The sequence below is a fragment of the Homo sapiens genome, chromosome 1, assembly GCF_000001405.40.
Source record: "Homo sapiens chromosome 1, GRCh38.p14 Primary Assembly".
Classification (NCBI taxonomy): Eukaryota; Metazoa; Chordata; class Mammalia; order Primates; family Hominidae; genus Homo; species Homo sapiens.
The window spans coordinates 202,876,783-202,896,403 of record NC_000001.11 but is presented as its reverse complement, the minus strand read 5'-3'; the positions used below and the strand labels follow the sequence as shown (position 1 = coordinate 202,896,403).

The window sequence follows — 19,621 nt, the reverse complement described above, 5'->3', positions numbered from 1 at the left end:
GCCTGGGCAATATGGTGAGACTCTGTCTCTACAAAAAAGTAAACAAAAAAATTAGCCAGGCATGGTGGTGCATGCCTGTAGTCCTAGCTACTTGGGAGGCTGTGGCAGAAGATTGCTTGAGCCCAGGAGTTCGAGGTTGCAGTGAACTGTGATTGTGCCACTGCACTCCAGCCTGGGTGATAGTGAGATCCCAACTCAGAAAAAAAAAGTTTGTATCTGTCTCCCTCAGCATGTCTCTCAGTGCTGAATGAACAATAGTAATTTCTGAGAAAACATGGAAATCCAACCCTCCTACCTTTTAAGGTTCTTATAATAAATCCTCATCCTTTGATTAGCAATGTGGGAATACTTTTCTACTTTATGGAAGGATATCAGTCTCTTAGCCCAGTGCCTTATGGAAGAGAAAGGAGTCAGATATTGGATAACAGAAAGCTGTTAAATCTTTTGGAAGCCTTGGAAAGAGGCAGAGATGCAGAAAGCTTGTATCTTTAAGAGCACCACAACAGGCATTTCGTTCAGTAGGTAGCTATTTGGGAGCCACTTGAGGATGAACCACTTAAGGAGGGTTCATGATGACAGGTGAAGAAGCAGAGAGGTGTGCAGATACAACAGGGAAGATAGCAAAAGGTAAGGCCCAAAACTTGCCTAACTGAAATGCTCTGTACCTCTTCTCTCCAAATCCATAGAGCATCACTCGTAAGAGACGTTATGTGGCCTCAGTGTCCCTTCATGACCGGATCTACGTCATTGGTGGCTATGATGGCCGTTCCCGCCTTAGTTCAGTGGAATGTCTAGACTACACAGCAGATGAGGATGGGGTCTGGTATTCTGTGGCCCCTATGAATGTCCGACGAGGTCTTGCTGGAGCCACCACCCTGGGAGGTAGGCTGGATGTGCAGGGCAATTATTTCCATCTTACTGTGGCTGGACCAGGGTTTTTAACCTCTCCTGTTGTCTGGCAGGAGCATGAAATACGGAGAAAAAATTAAGGTCAAATGTTATTATTATTTGAGACAGGGTCTCTCTCTGTTGCCCAGGCTGGAGTGCAGTGGTGTGATCACGGCTCACTGCAGCCTCAACCTCCCCAAGCTCAAGCGATCCTCCCACCTCAGCTTCCTGAGTAGCTGGGACTACAGGCATGCACCACCATGCCCAGCTATATTTTTGTATTTTTAGTAGAGATGGGGTTTCGCCATGTTGCCCAGGCTGATCTCTAACTCCTGAGCTCAAGTGATTGACCCACCTCGGCCTCCCAAGGTGCTGGGATTACAGGTGTGAGCCACTGTGCCCAGCCGACAAATACTCCTTTTTGCTTTCAGAAATATCAGTGTAATAGAAGCTGTTCAATATTCATGGATGTTTCATTATTGACTACAAAGTTGGCAAATCAAGTTCCAATGTGCTGGGTGGGGAACTGGCACTAGTTGTGTTTTTGCAAACTCCTAGGTGGTCTTTGAATGCTTTTAAGGATTTTGTTTTACCCCATTCTTTTTAGATGTCTTCCTTGTCTATAAAACTTAATTGACTTATCTCATTTAAAAATACTTTGTTTTTGCTCTCAGACTTTTAAAGGACCCTTGGAAAATTTGTAGAGGAAAGAGTTCTTAGAAATCTCTCATTCTCTAATAGTCTGTAATTTGTTTATTCTGAGCAGATATGATCTATGTCTCTGGAGGCTTTGATGGAAGCAGGCGTCACACCAGTATGGAGCGCTATGATCCAAACATTGACCAGTGGAGCATGCTGGGAGATATGCAGACAGCCCGGGAAGGTGCCGGACTCGTAGTGGCCAGTGGAGTGATCTACTGTCTAGGTATTGAGTCTGGGATGCAGGAATGGGAGGGAACTCAATGGGTAATGGGCTGTGGGTAAGGATTCCTTTTTACCAAAATGACGTTCATAGACTTCCCTTCAACTAAAACCCTGGTGTGTCTTAATATATTTTCCATTAATTGGGATTATCTTTTTCTTATAAGCATAATGTCAGATTTCTCTTAGAGTTATTGGAACTCTTGTGGGAAAATTGAAACTAAAATAATTAGTTGAAGCACTCAGAAAAAAACCGACCAGGAATGGGCATGAGGATTTACCACTCTTTCTGGAATGGTCTCTGTCTTCCAGGAGGATATGACGGCTTGAATATCTTAAATTCAGTTGAGAAATACGACCCTCATACAGGACATTGGACTAATGTTACACCAATGGCCACCAAGCGTTCTGGTAAGACCAGATCTGAGGGAGGGGACAATAGGCGATGCTGTCAGACCTTTACATATATAATGGTGGTGCATGGGACAAACCGTAGATTAATGTAAAAATGAGATTCTGCTCTCCTCCTTGTCTCTGTTTTCTCTAAATACTAGGATAAAGACAGTTGATACTTACAACTAGATTATAAATTTGAAAGCAAAAGCCTTCATGTCTTTGTTCTCTCCCTACGTTTTAGAATATCTAGTACAATTTTGCCTGTGTAGTACATGCTTAATAAATATCTGTTAAATAAAGTCTCTAATGCATAAGGACAAAAGAGTAGCTACTTACCTTCACCAAGAGCTTTTTGAAGTGGAGCAGGCTGGGATATAGAAAAGGAGAGAGCACTGTGCTGTTCTAGTTTACTTACTCTGGGTAAAAATTGCTTCAGAACCATAATCACAACTCCTTTCCCTCCATCTACCTTTATTGCCACCTTTTTTTCACTTCCTCCCTTTCTCCTAATTAGAAGGGTTGGGCTCTGAGTTAATGAAAGTAAAGAAGAGAACCATTTTTATTATTTATCTTTTATCATTTCAAGTCCAAGCCAAAGGGTTTATAGATGGAATAACTTGTGCTGGACTAGATTATTCTAGGCCCGTGTGGGCCCATTCCATATCCCTCATCTACTGTAGAACTCAGCTAGTCATTAGTGACCGTAGTTTATTTCTATAATTCAGATTCTAGGCTTAGTACCATACATTTGCTAATGCATTCATTTTCCCCAGGTGCAGGAGTAGCCCTGCTGAATGACCATATTTATGTGGTGGGGGGATTTGATGGTACAGCCCACCTTTCTTCCGTTGAAGCATACAACATTCGCACTGATTCCTGGACAACTGTCACCAGTATGACCACTCCACGATGCTATGTAGGGGCCACAGTGCTTCGGGGGAGACTCTATGCAATTGCAGGGTGAGGATTTAGAAACGAATCCAGACTCAATATGTAGCCAGAGCAAGAGTCTATGTGATCTGATCCTCATTTTTGGACAGAGACAAGACTTGGGTAGGGGTAGACATCTCCAGTGGCAACTTGATTTTTTTTATTAGATTTTTTTTATTTTTTAGAGACAGAGTATTGCTCTGTCACCCAGGCTGGAGTCTGAGTAGAGTAGCTGGGACCACAGGTGCACGCCACTGTGCCAGACTAGTTTTTTATGTTGCCTAGGCTGGTCTCCAACTCCTGGGCTCAAGCAATCCTTCCACCTCAGTCTCCCAAAGTGCTAGGATTACAGGTGAGAGTCACCATGCCTGGCCTCCAGTGGCAGCCTTAATGAAGGACTTGTGTGGAAAGGAATAGAAGGCTAATTTCTTTCTTTCTTTCTTTAAATTTTATTGAGACAGGGTCTCACCATGTTGCCCAGGCTGGTCTCAAATTCCCTCCTGGGCTTAAGCAATCCTCTTACCTCAGCCTCCTGCATAGTTGGGATTACAGGCACGTGCCACTGCACGCAGCTGACTCATTTCTTTCTTTTGCTTCTTTCCCACTCAGATATGATGGTAATTCCCTGCTAAGTAGCATTGAATGTTATGACCCTATCATCGACAGCTGGGAAGTCGTGACATCCATGGGAACCCAGCGCTGTGATGCTGGTGTTTGTGTTCTCCGCGAGAAGTGACCATTGTTGGAGCACCATCCAGAGCTAGTGACCAGTCCAGTGGACAGTTAGTGGGAGAATCAAAAATCCTTTCCAGAATGTCTGTTTCTCACTATGTGCACCGGGTGATTACAGGCACCAGTGCAGTGATGATTGTACTTATTTGACACATACTCCCCGTCGTCCTGGTTCTTGTTCCTGAGAAGGGTGGGTAACAGATATTCCAGGAAAAAGAATGCACATTGAATGGATGTGAGAGACCACATTGCCTCTCCCACTGCTTTGGGGAGCACTTTCCTGTCATTTCTAACTTACCACATGCTTGGTGTACTATATGTATGTTGTGCCTCATATGTTGCAAAGAACTAAGGTGAGTATAGCCTACTAGATATGGGCAATATCCAGCCTAGATGATTGGAAAGATACCAGTTTAAGTAAACTTGGTAAAATCCAAGTCTTTTTTTTTTTTTCCAGGAACAACTACATTTTCTCATATACAGGTAGCTAGGGGCAACACAGTTCCATTCTAGAGGGAAACAAAAGGGAGAGCCCCACAAAACTTTGGGGACAAGGGAGAGAGAGACTCATCTGACACTTCTTTTGGAGGTCAGGATTTGTATATCAGAATTGAAGTTAGAATTAAGTGAATTAAACTGAATTTGATTGTGAGTGAACCTAGAACAGCACTGAAGTATTACATAACCTGGAAGACTGAGAAGGGTATATTATTTGAAGGATCTTTTTATTTCCCCGAGGTCTTTCGCACTGGAGACAGCATAAAAGAGTGAACAAATGTTGGGATGAGAGAAGATGACATCAATGTGGGAGTTCAGTATAACTGGGGATAAACTAGAAGAACCTGTGATTTTACAGTCATCTTATTACCTGCCAGGGCTCATCTAGCCATGGCAATGTTTGCCTTGAATGGGGGTGAAAGCCTTTCTTTGTTGGATCAAATACTACTACACTATTACACTTCCACACTATTTATTTGGGGATGGGCTGGGAGTGACAGTAGCCTAGTAGTTCAGCTACCTGATTACTGCCCCATTCTTTTAGAAGCACATGTCTGCCAAGGAGTGGTTTGTACTGCTGTGTTTGGTACATCTAGTCTTTTTTCTGCTATAAGTTTTCCTTACCTGTCCTTTAGTGTAGATTTTATTCATCACAGGACAGAATAATCAAGGACAACCAAAATCCTTTTGTTAGTTTCAGTACCTCAGCTATCAACATTTCTGAGCTACCATTCAATGTTCCTCTGTGTCATGGAGTGAAATTCTTGTTTTGTGGGTATTAGGAGTGTGGGAATGTGATAACCTAAACAACCTTTGCTCTGAAATTCCATTTTTCCCTCTTTCCCTGAGTTGTATTGACCTACAGAGTTAATTTCCTTTGTATTTTTTTAAGAAAATATTAAAAATCAACGGTCTCAAATGCCGAGAGTTTGTGGCTAACCAACATTGCCTTTAGTAGATATTTGGGAGGGAAAGATGTAGGGATCAGCCGTAGCTCCTGTCTCTTCAAGCTGTTCATCTTGTGTGTTTGCCAACTAGTTCCGCTATTTCTATGTTAGACACAGGTAAGAGGTAGCCACTTTACACTTTGGAGATTCTCATCAGTAAAATATTTACCTGATTTGCCATATTCATTAGCCCCTCTGACGCTTGGAGTTACTTGAAAAAGGAATACAGAAAAGATCTTGAATTCACTTAGCACGCGCTTGAATTTCAGGGTTTCAGTCACACCAGTCCTTTTTTCCATTTGCTTTGAATTGTGGCATGTGATATAAACAGCTATGCGGAAGGCCTGCAAAACTGAAACAGTCCTGATGCTTCCAGAGCAAAAGGAAGGAGGAGCCACATGAGGAAGTTATTTTCCTTAAAAGATGCCTACCAACTTTGGCAGATGGATTGTGCATGCTAATTAAACCAAAGCCTATAAAACGTGACTTTTCCTATCTCAGGAAGAGATCCAGGGGAGGGTGAAGGACTGATGGCTCCTATGCTGTCTTCAGTGCTGACTAATGAGTTTCAGACCAACTTCACAAATAGTTCATACACTGAAGCCACAATGGTATGTTCTACAGAAAAATCAACACGTAAAACAGCTCCTTTTTCACTCTTCACAATCGTACACACTTTCATGTGCTCACATACATACACAGAGATACCCCTAATTTGGTGGTTCATCTTATTTTTTTAAGCTCCCATAACTGGCAACCAGCTACTTAGTTATCTAACCTGGGAAAACCAGCAGTTGCTTTGTGTCACCCCCATCACAATACAGACATCCAGCTAGTTTCTAAGTTCTGTACAATTTTAATTGTTTCAAGTCCATTCCCATATCTTTGTTCCCTCTGCTAGCTTCAGGGCCTTTCTGAGCTAGACTGATGAGGTAATAGCTACCTGATACCTTACCTCTACTCTTTTTCCTCTCTTCAATCTAGCCCCTCTATTTATTCATAGGTTATCTTTCTGAAGCACAGATAGGATCATTACAGTGCTTAACATACAGCAGACAGTAAATATCGAACAGTTATTTCTGGCCTAAAATTCCACAGATTCCCATTGTTCATGTTATTAATGTTAAATTCCTTAGCATGACATTAAAGCCATGGAGCTCTGGGCCCACTCTGCCTTACCTACCTCTACTACCACTTCTCCCCACGTGTAATGTGGGTCAGCCACAGTGGTCTACTAACCATTCCTAAATTTGTTCTCACCCTTGTTCATATATAATACTGTTCTGTCTGAAATAATCTTGCTTTCCTGACAATCCTAGTTAATTAAGAGCAGTGGCTTTAGAGTTGTGCTGCAACCTTTCTGATCTTTACCTTTCTCATTTTGTGCACAAGCGTGCCGACCCCGTAAGGAAACTGATGATTTAGTAAGTTTCTAAAGGCGCTTTGACACATTTTGCCGCATAGTAAATGGTCACAATGAGTAGAAGAGACCAGCAATTAAAGTTTCCACGCATCTTTTTCCAATACCGAAAAGATACATGCCCCTCTAAGTAGTTTCCTATAGAAGAAGCTAATGTGGCTAAAACTTGATGGGAAGTCCGACCCAGATTCCCTTCATATTGCCCCCAATAATGTCCCCATTTATTCAGGAGACTAAATTCAGATCCCAGAAAACTAAACAGTAAGGTCAACCTAATGATTTGTCTAGGTTTTAAGTGAAGCCCAGTGGCCAGGTGGGTATGGAGATGTGTCACTGGTGCCAAGAAGTGTCCCTGTCACAAAGCCTGCCGACACCTAGCCACTTAGGTTAGGCAATGAATGAAGGCGCTTGCGCAGTAGAGTCCAGAGCGGGGAAGCGGGCGCCTGCGCAGAGACATAGTGACCGTCCGCTCGCCGCCCCGCCTCTGCCAAGCCGCGCCAGCGCAGTGAATAACGAGCCAGCAGAGACAGCGTCTGCGCAGCCGTGGCTGAGGAGCCTGTGGCGGCAGCGGCGATGGAACCAGCGGAGCAGCCGAGCGAGTTAGTGTCAGCCGAGGGCCGAAACCGGAAGGCGGTGCTGTGCCAGCGTTGCGGCTCCCGGGTGCTGCAGCCAGGGACCGCTCTCTTCTCTCGCCGACAGGTAGGGAGGCAGGTTGGAGGCCGTTTACACCCACAGTCTCCCCCGACGAGCCGCCGCAGTCAGAATCTGAACCCCGGCTCTTCAATTTCCGGCAACCGCGCCCTCCTCGCGCGGCCTTAAGCCCCGCCCCTCGGGCCTCAGCTCGGCGAGGCTCCGCCCCTGGGGCCGCTGAAGGCTAGGGAGGGAACCGGGTCCCGCCCCGGCATCTTTTGCCGCGGGAACCCTTCCCTGGGCCACCCGGCCCAGCCAGCCCGGCCCTCTGCCCCCGGGGGGGCTTCGAGCGCGGGCCGTGCGCCCCGCCGCCGTCCAAGGCCGGTGCTCCGCGGGCGCGTGGAAGGGAGGCGCCCCATTCCGGCTCTCGGAGCTCCCGCCAGCTTGCAGGACCCGGCAGGTGCCTCTCGGCCGCCGCTCACCGCGGGTGTTGCTGGGTTCCTTTCCCACTTTAGACCTCACCCGCCAGTCCTGAATTCACCGTCTCATTTATGACGGGCACCTATCTGCTCCACAGAGGATCCCCAGGAACAACTGGTGTTGGGGACGCGGCAAAATAACCCTGGTAACCTACCCACTTTACCGAGGCACTGGAAGCCTGTGGTTTTCCAGATGAATCATATTTCAAGTGCAGTAGATCCCTGACGTCCTGGAAGTAAATTTCGAAGAAAAACTTTTTTTTTCCCTTCAGTTTAGGGATTTTAATACCCTTCCTACCACCATCATCGCAAGTGAGAAAGTTGAAAAAAAAATTTATTTCGGTAAACTGTGTTGAAGTGCAAATATAATGTCATTTCAACCATAGACACATCCTATCATTCAAAATTATTTCTAAAAATATGCAGATCATTTTATTATTTCACGTGCTTGAACAGATGGTGAAGTGTAATGTCTAGTAGAAGAGCAAGAGGTACCCATTCGTCCAAAACAGCCTTTCATCAAAGGAGGAAAAAAGGGAATCTGTGTCTGTTGTTTTGTAGGTATTTTGATGACTTTTGATCTAGAGATTGGTGGAGGTCCCGGGGTTCTTTTAAGACTTCAAGGTTTAGGAGTAGAGTTCTCAATTAATTTTACGAAGTTAGTGGCATTATGGAGTCAGTGGAAAGAACATGGATCTTGGAATTGAAACATACATGGAATTGAGTCCTGACTATCATTCATTAACATTAAAACAGTTAGGCTGGGCGCGGTGGCTCATGCCTGTAATCCCAGCACTTTGGGAGGCCGAGGCGGGCGGAACACCTGAGGTCAGGAGTGTGAGACCAGCCTGGCCAACATGGCAAAACCCCATCTCTACTAAAAAAAAAAATACAAAAATTAGTTGGGGGTGGTGGCACAAGCCTGTAATCCCAGCTACTCGGGAGGCTGAGGCAGGAGAATCGCTTGAACCTGGGAAGCCGAGGTTGTAGTGAGCGGAGATTGAGTCACTGCACTCCAGTGTGGGCAACAGAACGAGACACCATCTCAAAAAAAAAAAAAAAAAGTTATTTAACCTCCATGAGATGCAGGTTGCTATTGTGTAAAACAGGGGTGTCCAGTCTTTTGGCTTCCCTGGGCCATATTGGAAGACTTGTCTTGGGCCACACAAAATACACTAATGATAGCTGATGAGCTTAAAAAAAAATTGCAAAAAAAAAAATTTTTCATAATGTTTTAAGAAAGTTTCCGAATTTGTGTTGGGCCGCATTCAAAGCCGTTCTGAGCCATATGCCGGCCGCGGGTTGGACAAGCTTGTAAAATGAAGATGATGATAGAGGGAAGAATTTGTATAAAAGCACTTAGCACTGTGCCGAGTATATAGCCCATAATATAGGTTAGTTCCCATACTCCTTTTCCATGGCAAGGTTTTGTCTAATTTTATAAACTGACATAAATTAAGAGACTTCTAAATGGAGTTTATAGTTTGTTTTAAAATTCTTAATTGTTTTTTCTTTAAAAAAAAAAAAAAAAAACAAAACATAGCCCACACCTGTAATCCCAGCTCTTTTGGGAAGCTGAGTTGGGCGGATCACTTGAGGTCAGGAGTTCAACAACTGCCTGGCCGACATGGTGAAATCCCATCTCTACTAAAAATACAAAAATTATCTGGGCGTGTTGGTGGGCACCTGTAATCCCAGCTACTTGGGAGGCTGAGGGGCAAGAATCGCTTGAACCCGGGAGGCAGAAGTTCAAGATTGCACCACTGCACTCCAGCCTGAGTGACAGAGCGAGACTCCGTCTCAAAAAAAAAAAAAAAGAAAAAAGAAAAAAACATAGACGCGCTCACTGTATTGCTCAGGCTGGTCTCCAACTCCTGGGCTCAAGTGATTCATCCACCTTGGCCTCCCAAAGTGGTGGGATTACAGGTATGAGCCACCGTGCCTGGCCAGGATCTTTCTTTTGTTTTGTTTTGTTTTTGAGATGGAGTCTCCCTCTGTCGCCGAGGCTGGAGTGTGTGGCATGATCTCGGCTCACTGCAACCTCCTCCTCCCGGGTTCAAGTGATTTTCCTACCTCAGCTTCCCAAGTAGCTGGGATTACAGGTGCACGCCACCATGCCCAGCTAATTTTTGTATTTTTAGTAGAGATGGGGTTTCAGCATGTTGGCCAGGTGAGCCGCTCCGCCCGGCAGGACCTACCTTCTGCCCTGCCCTGCCTTCCCCTCCCTCCCTTCCCTTCCCACTCCCCTCCCATCCCCTCCCCCTCCCCTCCCTTCCCCCGCTTTCCTTTCCCCCCTTCCCTTCCCACCTCCCCTCCCCTCCCCGTTCCCGTTCCCCGTTGTGCTCTGTCAAAAGCATGACTCACTGCAGCTTCCAACCAGTCAAAATTCTTAATTCTTGTTTGATACTATTTTAAACTGATTTTGCCAAAAATTGTGTGAGCAAATTAAATTATATATGTTACATTTCTTTTTGTTTCTCAACGAACACAGTGGTCCCTATTCTAGAAAGGGGCCTAAGAATTTTTTTAATGCATTTTATGTGTTTTAAAATGTTTTCCCTCTTTTAAAAAGGCAAAAAGGTGGGTTTTTTTTTTTTTGGGTTGTGTTTTTTAACAATGGCTTCAGTATTTCTGGAAATTTCCTATTTCTTGAGAAAGAACTGTTGGAAGAATCCTATCCCTTTTTCTGGACTCAAGCAACTCAGCTGTAATCCAACCCAGTGTTCTCCTTACTGTCAGTCCTAATTGTTTTCTCCTTTCTTTTCTCAAATACTAATTTGAGCAAAAATATAACTTCTAGGACATGATGTAAATAGAAGGTAGAAAATTTCATGGAAGATTCTAACCAGTTATTTATTAGTCCTTTCCCTGCTCTGTGTCACACATTTTAAGGTGGGGAAAAACAGTTCCATCCTTAGAGAGAACAAGCAGCTTCTGAGATGCTGAGCTCCTTAACTAAAGCTTTGGGGTAAACCCCGTAAAGGTTCGGGGTAGCTCTTTTTTCTCATAACTGTGACATATTGCAGATAAACCACCATTAGGGCAATTACAGCAGGGCTGTTACTCATCTCTGCAGGTGTTAAAGGAGCGCTCCCAGCCGTTAAGCCTGCAGAAAGGTGTAAGGAGTCTGGCTAGAGGTGGCCTACAGCTTTCTCTCTCGCTCCACCCAGTGCAATAGCCTAGTAGTCTGCAGATGGGAACAGTTGGAGAACTAGATTGCCAGTCCTACCTTTGAGGTGATCCAGGGCCTAGGAGTTACTGTATCTTATATTCCAGAGTTCTTTAGTCTAAAGTAGTGTGTTTCTCGATTCCTCCCGCATCCCCAGACCTCCAGAGGACATGTAGCAATATCTGGAGACATTTTTAGTTGTCAGAATGAGGGAGGTGTGCTACTGGCATCTAGTGGGTAGAAGCCAGGGTTGCTGTTAAGCATCTTTTTCTTTCTTTTCTTTTTTTTTTTTTTTTTTTTTTTTTTTGAGATAGAGTCTCACTCTGTTGCCCAGGCTGGAGTGCAGTGGCACGATCTCTGCTCACCTAACCTCCGCCTCCTGGGTTCAAGAGATTCTCCAGTCTCAGCCTCCCGAGTAGCTGGGATTACAGGTGCCCCCACCATGCCCAGCTAATTTTTTGCATTTTTTTAGTAGAGATGGGGGTTTCGCCATGTTGGCCAGGCTGGTCTTGAACTCCTGACCTCAGGTGATCCGGCCACCTCAGCCTCCCAAAGTGCTGGGATTACAGGCATGAGCCACTGTGCCCGGCCCGAACAATGATGTATTTTGCTCAGGAATTTAGGGGTCGACTGGGTTTAGCGAGGCAGTTCTCACTGGGGGTCTCTGATGTGATGGCAATCAGAAAGGTCATTCCGTCACGCGTCTGCCTGTGGGCTGGGAGGGCTCACACACCTGAGCACTGGAACAGGATTTGGGGCCACCTCCGTCCGTACATGGACCCCCCCAGCCTGGTCTCCACATGGCACCCTCAGGATAGCCGGACTTCTAACACAGTGGCTGAAGGCTCCCCGCACAAGTGTCCCATGAGAAGTGGCAAAAGTTGCATGCCATTTTCTAACCAGCCTGTCACTTCCACTGCATATATTCGTCAAGCAATCACCATGGCCTGCCCAGACCAAAGGAGAGGGCTATGGACTCCACTCTTGGTGGAAGGATTATCAGAGAATTTTTTGAAAACAACACAAGTAACTCCCAGAAGGGAAAAAGATTACGAAAAAGTTAACAGAAGTGTACTCTGTATTGTAGCAGTTTTTATTCTCATCTGTATTATAGCATGCTTGCCAAGTTTTCTATAATGAAAATGTATTTTTACAATGAGAAAGGTAGTATTTTATTTTTAAAAGGGTGCTGTTAGTAGTATATCAGCAGAGTCTCACTGAGTTGTGGCGTTCTGTCTATTTCTGAAGAGGTTGTCCAGGATTCGCTGGGGTCCTGACAGAACAAAGGTAACCAACCCATCTGGTCAGAGATCTCACTGGCAACTTCGCACCAAGTTGAGTTTGCCTCAAATTACATACTAATTTTTTTGTTGCCATCCCCAGTAGTCTATCCAGAAAGCCTCATTACATTCCGGATGTTGTAGCTAATCTCCTGGCCCTAGCAATGGTCCTTGGCATTGCAGTGAATAGGTTGAGATCCAGGCAGAGATGCACATACATATGCATATATATAAGTATAGTCTTGTGGGCCTGACTTAGATGATCTAAGTTAAAATGGGAATGTTGAGGAATAGAGCAAACAGGACCCAATATGATGCCTTGAATGGACCGTTAATTATGGTAGTACCTTTAAATCACAAATCAAAGGAGAGACAACTGGACAGGTGATGCTTTGTGCTACAAATGGGAACCGAGAGAGGGAAGGTGGTGATCTTTTGTTGGGCACCTCCTGAACACTAATGCTTTAGTCAGTTTTCTGTTTTGTTGGACACACTGAATTCTTGGTTGATTGGTTAGATGTCTTAACTAGTCCACTGAAGTTTACTCCATCTATGTGAAGATATGTGAGATTTCACACCTACAGTATAGGGGATAAGCCAGAAATACATTTAGGAAAATTGAGGCCCACAGAAAGTTACAGATGCGACTAGAATCCAGGTTTCCTGGTTCCTTAATTTTGATTCCTAACTCTCTTTGCCTCTACTTGTTGCTGTTTTTGTTTAAGGTAGAACAAAGTGTTAAGGACACCTTTAACATGAGGCAAAAAGAATGACTGGAGTAACAGTATTACACAATGGCTTGTACTGTAACCCCAGTTACTTGGGAGACTGAGGCTGGAGGATTGCTTGAGCCCAGGAGTTCAAACCCAGCCTGGGCAATGTAGAGAGACCCCATCTCTAATTACAAAAAAACAAAAAAGTATATCGTGGGGTGGGAAATGGGAAATAAGTGATATGACAGCAGCCATATGAGGAGCAGAGGGGTAACAAACTTGGCTGGCATGATATTTTGCGGTAGTCTGGGACAGCTAAGAGTGTATACACTATCCATATTGAAGAAATTAAAGCAACTGTGTGTGTGCGTGCCAGAGGCCTTCTCCTAATGATTGAGAAGTCATATAGGTTGGAGGGTACAAGCATCCTAGAGCTAATAATTCCAAATTGTAGAACTAGATTTTTCTTTTTATAAGATAAATCCAGTATATCCCTAATAGTGATGGAATAGATCAAAGCCAGATATTCTATGTTCATTCTCTTAACAAATAGTTGAGATCCTGCTCTATACCAGTTGCTATTCTAAGCACTAGAGATCTAGTAATGAACAAAGTAAGCTCCTTGCTTTCCAGGAGCTGATATTCTAGTTGAGGTAGACACGTGGTAAATAAGTAAGCCAATAAATTAATACGATAATTTCAGAAAATAAGCAATAAACAAGTAGGAGTGGCATGAAGAGACTTCCAGGGGAAATGAATGTGTTCATTATCTTGATTATGATAATGGTTTCACCAGTATACATGTGCTAAAGTGAAATAAACTGTGCATTTTATTTTATTACTTTTTGAGACGATCTCACTCTGTCATCCAGGTTGGAGTACAGTGGCATGATCTTGGCTCACTGTAGTCTCAATCTCCCCGGCTCAAGTGATCCTCTCACCTCAGCCTCCTGAGTAGCTGGGACTACGGACACTTGCCACCATACCCAGCTAATTTTTTTTGTTGTTGTTGTTTTTGAGACAGAGTCTCGCTCTGTCGCCCAGGCTGGAGAGCAGTGGTGTGATCTCAGCTCACTGCAGCCTCAACCACCTCCTGGGCTCAAGCAATCCTCTTACCTCAGCCCCATGAGTGGCTGGGACTACAGGTGTGCACTACCACAGCCTGCTAATTTTTGTGTTTTTTGTAGAGATGGGGGTCTCACTATGTTGCCTAGGCTGGTCTTGAACTCCTGAGCTCAGGCAACCCTCCTGCTTCAGCCTCCCAAAGGGCTGGGATTACAGGTGTGTACCACCACGCCTAGCCCTGGCTAATTTTTTCAAACTACTTTTTGTAGAGACTAGGTCTCATTATGTTGCCCAAGCTAATGTGCATTTAAAATATGTGCAGTTCATATGTCAATTATACCTCAATAAAACTATTTAAACAAAATACAGTGGGCAGTAAGTAAAGCTAATTCAGGTTGTTTGGTTAGAGAAGACCTCCTGAGAAGGCTATGTTTGAGCTGACTACTGAGGAGGAGCTAGCCATACCAAGATCTGAGGGCAGAACAGACCAATGCTGTTTGAGGAAGGCAAGAAAGCCAGTGTGCCTGAAGCATAATGAGCCGGGGAAACTAGGACCATGTGGGGCCCATGTTGAGGACAGCAGTGAAACCGAGTTCCCAGACCACCCAGCTGGTGCCCCTCTTTCATTTCTCTTAAGAATCAGGCTCACGCCTATAATCCCAGCACTTCGGGAGGCCGAGGCAGGCAGATCACGAGGTCAAGAGATCGAGACCATCCTGGCTAACACGGTGAAACCCCATCTTTACTTAAAAAAAAAATACAAAAAATTAGCCAGGCGTGGTGGCGGGCACCTGTAGTCCCAGCTACTCGGGAGGCTGAGGCAGGAGAATGGCGTGAACCCAGGAGGCGGAGGTTGCAGTGAGCTGAGATCGCGCCACTGCACTCCAGCCTAGGCGACAGTGGGAGAATCTGTCTCACAAAAAAAAAAGAATCAGGGCAGAGACCAGAGGCAAAGAAGAGCCACCCAGCATCATCGTCTACAGCTTAATGAGAGGGCTTCTCTTTTTTTGTCATTCCTGCTAGGGAGCAATGTGAAGTGTACCTAGAACGGGGGTGTTGATGGAACTGGGCCAGTTCAACTTCTGCGTTCTTTATGTTCTTTCCCACTGCAGCTTTTCCTTCCCTCCATGAGAAAGAAGCCAGCTCTGTCTGACGGCAGCAATCCTGACGGCGATCTCCTCCAGGAACACTGGCTGGTTGAGGACATGTTCATTTTTGAGAATGTGGGCTTCACCAAGGACGTGGGCAACATCAAGTTTCTGGTCTGCGCAGACTGTGAAATTGGACCAATTGGCTGGCATTGCCTAGATGACAAGAACAGTTTCTATGTGGCCTTGGAACGAGTTTCCCATGAGTAACTGAGGGGAGGGGTACTCAGCTCCATCTCCAAAGATAAACCTACTCCCCACAAGAACTGGCCTTTAATGTGGTATAACTGTTCCGCTGCCTTCTTGTCTGTGCTAATATAAATACTGAGTACCAGCATGTCCATTTGAACATGCAGAGGGTTAATCCTGCTTCCTAAAGCCTCAAGTACATGCCTCCTGCTTAGTTCACTTTGTATCACATTTCCTAAGCTCCCTTTTCCCCCAGTTTTGGGACACTGTGCTTACCTCCAAAAATCTCATCTCTTCCCTGGCATTCTCCCTAGGCTCTGTTTTGCCCAGGGGCTCCCGCTTTTTCTTGCTCTAGAAGAGCAGTATTCAACCTTTTAGCTATGATGACACATAACAAAAGATGCTTATGTACTAATAGTTGAAATCTGCCTTTTTCTCATTCAAGAAGGCATACAAATATCTGAGAGTGACTTTGTTGTATGGCTACCCTTGTGATCTACAGTAATTTATTCTTTCTAAAGGTAAAGCATTTTCAAAACTCAGTATTTAAACCACTAACCAGAAACATTACTTTGGATGCATCTCTAATACCATGTTTGAGCACCTCTGCTCTAGGTTGAGAATGACATTTTATTGTGAAGATGGGTGTGGTCCCTCTTCCCTTGAAATCTTGTAGTTTCTTTTTATATTAGCTCCTCACTGCTACAGCCTAGAAGGTGAGAAGCAGATTTTAACCCCATCTGGCAGCCATTCAAGGAAAACCCAGCCCTGGCTGTTTACTCAGGCTCTCTTAGAATGAGAGTGGAGGGTGTAGGATATGAGGGTTAGGCCTTTGCCACATTATACAAAAGTTTATAATTTGCCACATCTGGACAAGTAACTTTCTTCTTTTGTTCATAGGCAAGACTTCTTTAATGGATAGTATCATTTACTGAACCTACTGGGCATGGTCCTCATGGAGTTTTGGTTCAACTGGAATCTCTGTGCCAACCCAGGATACAAACTTCCATCCAGATGCATGGATACAAATTTCCATAGCTCCGGGGCTGCTCTAACAGTTTGATATCAGCAGACGTGTTTAAGCCTTCAACTTGATTTCCAATTATTCCATCATTTCTATTCTGAAATGACTCACTGTCGTAGAAGGAAGTTTATTATATAACCAAGGTTTCAGGTATCCTCCTGTCACCACCTCTACTATTCAGGAGGCCTAAAATTGAAATAAGTACTAAACAGAAACCTTACCATCTGAAGTCCCTTCCATTGTTTTCTAGTTGCTTCCTCATTCCTTTACCCCCAAACTTTCTAAGGGCTCCCCGACTGCAGTGCAAGGTGGCCTTGGGCACAGTTTTGCAACCAACCTACTCCCCTGGAAAGATGGCTTCCTTCTCCAATTAGCCTGAATGAGCTTTAGTAAGCAATTGAGAGAACTGTGTTTTTCCGACAAACGGTCACATGTCCATCGTTATGGCATGTGCAGAAAAACAGAGTTATCCACACAAGTCAGGAGCAAAACCCAAGTAGATGCCTCTAGGGGCACATGGCCCCTCACATCACAAGCCAGAACCTAAGCTAAGCATTTTTTAAATTGAGTTTGAGACTAGCCTGGGCAACATAGTGAGACCCCATCTCTATTTAAAAAATGAACAAAATTACCTGGGCATAGTGGTGTATACCTGTAGTCCCTGCTACTTGGGAGGCTCAGGTGGGAGGATCACTTGAGCCCCAAAGATGGTGGCTGCAGTAAGCCAAGATCACACCACTGGCACTCCAGCCTGGGCAACAGAGTGAGACCCTGTCTCAAACAAACAACAACAGTAACAACAAAAAAATATATAGCGACTTGAATAGGAAACCATAGTATTTCATTGTTTTAATTTGCATTTATTTTATTTCTAGTGAAACTTTTATATACGTATCGGTCATTTCTATTTCCTTTTTTGAGAACTGCCAAATGTTGCCCTAGTAGCCAAAAATATCAGGTTGCTATTCTGCCTTTTCAGTTTGATCTGAAAGAAATAAAGGCATTTAAGCAATGGAAATTAGATTTCTGCATGTCCTTGGGAAGAATATATAAATTGAAAAAACAAAGGAGAGCTGAAACCTGAACCTTGGGGTTTAGCTTAAGGTCAACCAACTGATTATCTAGTCAGCTATAAAATGCAAACGTCATTTCTTCATTTCCCTCACACCTAATAGGCTCTCAGTACATACTTGTGAATCAGCTGCTATTTGCTGTGGGTAGATAGAGGCAACCTGTGCTTTCTGCTCCGAGTATAGAAACTTCCGTTTTCTATTGGGGAGAGCAGTTGATTTTGTGAAAGCCTGATTGTTTCCACATAATTGTCTGTTGTTTTACAAAAACATGGAATCAAAGATGGGCAGTGGTGTACTGACATTTCACAAATTGTCACCATGTTGTATATGAGGCTACACATGTAACTGAGTAACTATGAGGACTTCTGCTTCTGATAATGGTGGATAGGTCCTTTGGACTACCCAGCTCACTGGTTAACTAGAAAGGCTGGACAAAATACTTTAGAAATCTGTGTGAACACACCAAGAGAGCCGACTTGACTTTGAAGAATTGCTAAACCAGGACAGCAGAGGAGATGGGAACCCTGGGAGGTGGGCTTGGTGTGAGGGCCACCGTTCTCCTGGGAGCATTTGCCAAACTTGGAGGTGATTCAGAGGCTTAGCAGTGATTTTAGCAGCCTTTCAGAAGTAGGGGATGGGGCCTGTGAAAGGGCGATGGACTTGGTGGTGTTACTCACTTTTGGTTGAAGCCCTCAGTCTTTTGCACCCCAGGAATAAGGGTGAGGCGGTGTAGGAAACAGGCTCTCGGGACTGCAGCCCAGCCTCCGATTACGGATCTTAATCCTTGAAATTAGATTAAGGTGATCCCAGAGTGGTAGTTTGCCCAAACTCTTTGGATAAGCAAACAAAACCCCTCTCTAGAGGATGTTATTATTATCCTAAACCCAGATTCTTTCTACAATTTTGCTAATACAATATCCTGAGTACAACAAGATGTAACCAGGCACGTGAGACAAGATAGCAGGCCCACAGTGGCTGGAGACATCGGTGCTATCAGACTAAAATAACTGCTTACCATGTTCAAGGAGAGACACTAGTTTGGGAATTCAGCAGCTACATGAACATGTTTTTTTAAAAAGTAAATTCTAGAATTTGTAAGAATCCAATAATCAAAATTAAGAATACAGTGGAAACTTGATTGGGCATGGTGGCTCATGCCCATAATCCCAGCACTTTGGGAGGCCAAGGCCGGCGGATCATGAGGTCAGGAGTTCAAGACCAGCCTGGCCAATGTGAAACCCTGTCTCTACTAAAAATGCAAAAATTAGCCAGGCATGGTGGTGCACGCCTGCAATCCCAGCTACTCCGAAGGCTGAGGCAGGAAAATCGCTTGAACCCAGGAGGCGGAGGTTGCAGTGAGCCGAGATTGTGCCACTGCACTCCAGCCTGGGACAGGGAGAGATTCCGTCTCAACAAAAGAAAAAATACAGTGGAACCAGCATGGGCAACATAGTGAGACCCTGTCTCCACAAAAAACAAAATAGCTGGGTGTGGTGGCACCTGCTTGTAGTCCCAGCTACTTTTGAGGCTGAGGTGAGAGGATCACTTGAGCCCAGGAGTTAGAAGCTTCAGTGAGCTATGATGATGCCACTATACTCAAGCCTGGGCAACAGTGAGCCCCTGTCTCTAAAGTTCACTGGAATGCTTTAACAGCAGCTTAGGCACAACTGAGGAGAGAACTAGAAAACTAGGGGTTAGACATAACTAACAGTAGATATGTAAGACCACAACACAAAACCTTATATGACATTACTGAGAGAAAGTAAAAGAAAACAAATTCATGGGGCCAGGAAACTATAGCCCACAGGCCAAATTCATTCAGCCAGTACCTATTGAGGCTCAGAAACTTTCAAGCTAAAAATAGTTTTTACTTTTTTTTTTATGAGACAGGATCTTAACTCTGTTACCTAGCCTAGAGTGCAGTGGCACAATCACAGCTCACTGCAGCCTCAACCTCCCAGGCTCAGGCGAGCCTCCCAGCTCGGCCTCCTGAGTAGCTGGGAACACAGGCATGTGCCAGTGCGCCCGGCTAATTTGTATTTTTAGTAGAGACAGGGTTTTGCCATGTTGTCCAGGCTGGTCTCAAACTCTTAGGCTCAAGTGATCCTCCCACCATGGA

General features: G+C 44.6%; 2 protein-coding genes across 10 annotated transcripts in view, besides 3 other annotated features; both read left to right on the top strand.

Annotated features, from left to right (window-relative positions):
- The window catches only part of KLHL12 (kelch like family member 12), a 37,480-nt gene extending 32,196 nt beyond the window's left edge, over positions 1-5,284 (top strand). For 3 of the 9 annotated variants that reach the window (NM_001303051.2, XM_011509835.3, NM_021633.4), the window contains 5 exons: positions 687-882; positions 1,655-1,813; positions 2,122-2,220; positions 2,979-3,165; positions 3,745-5,284. In NM_001303051.2, coding sequence (NP_001289980.1) covers positions 687-882; positions 1,655-1,813; positions 2,122-2,220; positions 2,979-3,165; positions 3,745-3,871 — 768 coding nt within the window. In that variant the 3' untranslated portion in view covers positions 3,872-5,284. The remainder of the gene's footprint in view (positions 1-686; positions 883-1,654; positions 1,814-2,121; positions 2,221-2,978; positions 3,166-3,744) is intronic. The other 6 variants (XM_011509837.3, NM_001303109.2, XM_011509836.3 and 3 more) reach the window with 3 other exon arrangements.
- Positions 7,220-7,489: an enhancer, noted in NCBI's record as "active region_2337". NCBI's record gives its function as "activates an Ori minimal core promoter by ATAC-STARR-seq in GM12878 lymphoblastoid cells {active_cell/tissue: GM12878}" and the evidence as "EXISTENCE:reporter gene assay evidence [ECO:0000049][PMID:35858748]".
- RABIF (RAB interacting factor) lies at positions 7,255-18,122 on the top strand. The gene is made up of 2 exons (NM_002871.5): positions 7,255-7,431; positions 15,181-18,122. The coding sequence occupies exons 1-2, from the start codon at positions 7,306-7,308 to the stop codon at positions 15,424-15,426; spliced, it is 372 nt and encodes a 123-aa protein (NP_002862.2). The 5' UTR covers positions 7,255-7,305; the 3' UTR covers positions 15,427-18,122.
- Positions 7,560-7,849: a silencer, noted in NCBI's record as "silent region_1709". NCBI's record gives its function as "represses an Ori minimal core promoter by ATAC-STARR-seq in GM12878 lymphoblastoid cells {active_cell/tissue: GM12878}" and the evidence as "EXISTENCE:reporter gene assay evidence [ECO:0000049][PMID:35858748]".
- Positions 11,220-11,719: an enhancer, noted in NCBI's record as "H3K4me1 hESC enhancer chr1:202853813-202854312 (GRCh37/hg19 assembly coordinates)". NCBI's record gives its function as "activates a minimal SCP1, AML or CMV promoter by ChIP-STARR-seq in naive H9 embryonic stem cells {active_cell/tissue: H9 hESC(naive)}" and the evidence as "EXISTENCE:reporter gene assay evidence [ECO:0000049][PMID:30033119]".
- Positions 18,123-19,621: the final 1,499 nt, after the last annotated feature.

What these genes read in the sequence shown, in the direction of transcription:
- RABIF (NM_002871.5), top strand. Translation starts at nt 7,306, where the DNA reads ATGGAACCAGCGGAGCAGCCGAGCGAGTTAGTGTCAGCCGAGGGCCGA. An exon ending in CTCTCTTCTCTCGCCGACAG is followed by an intron (nt 7,432 to 15,180) that starts GTAGGGAGGCAG and finishes TTCCCACTGCAG; the next exon opens with CTTTTCCTTCCCTCCATGAG.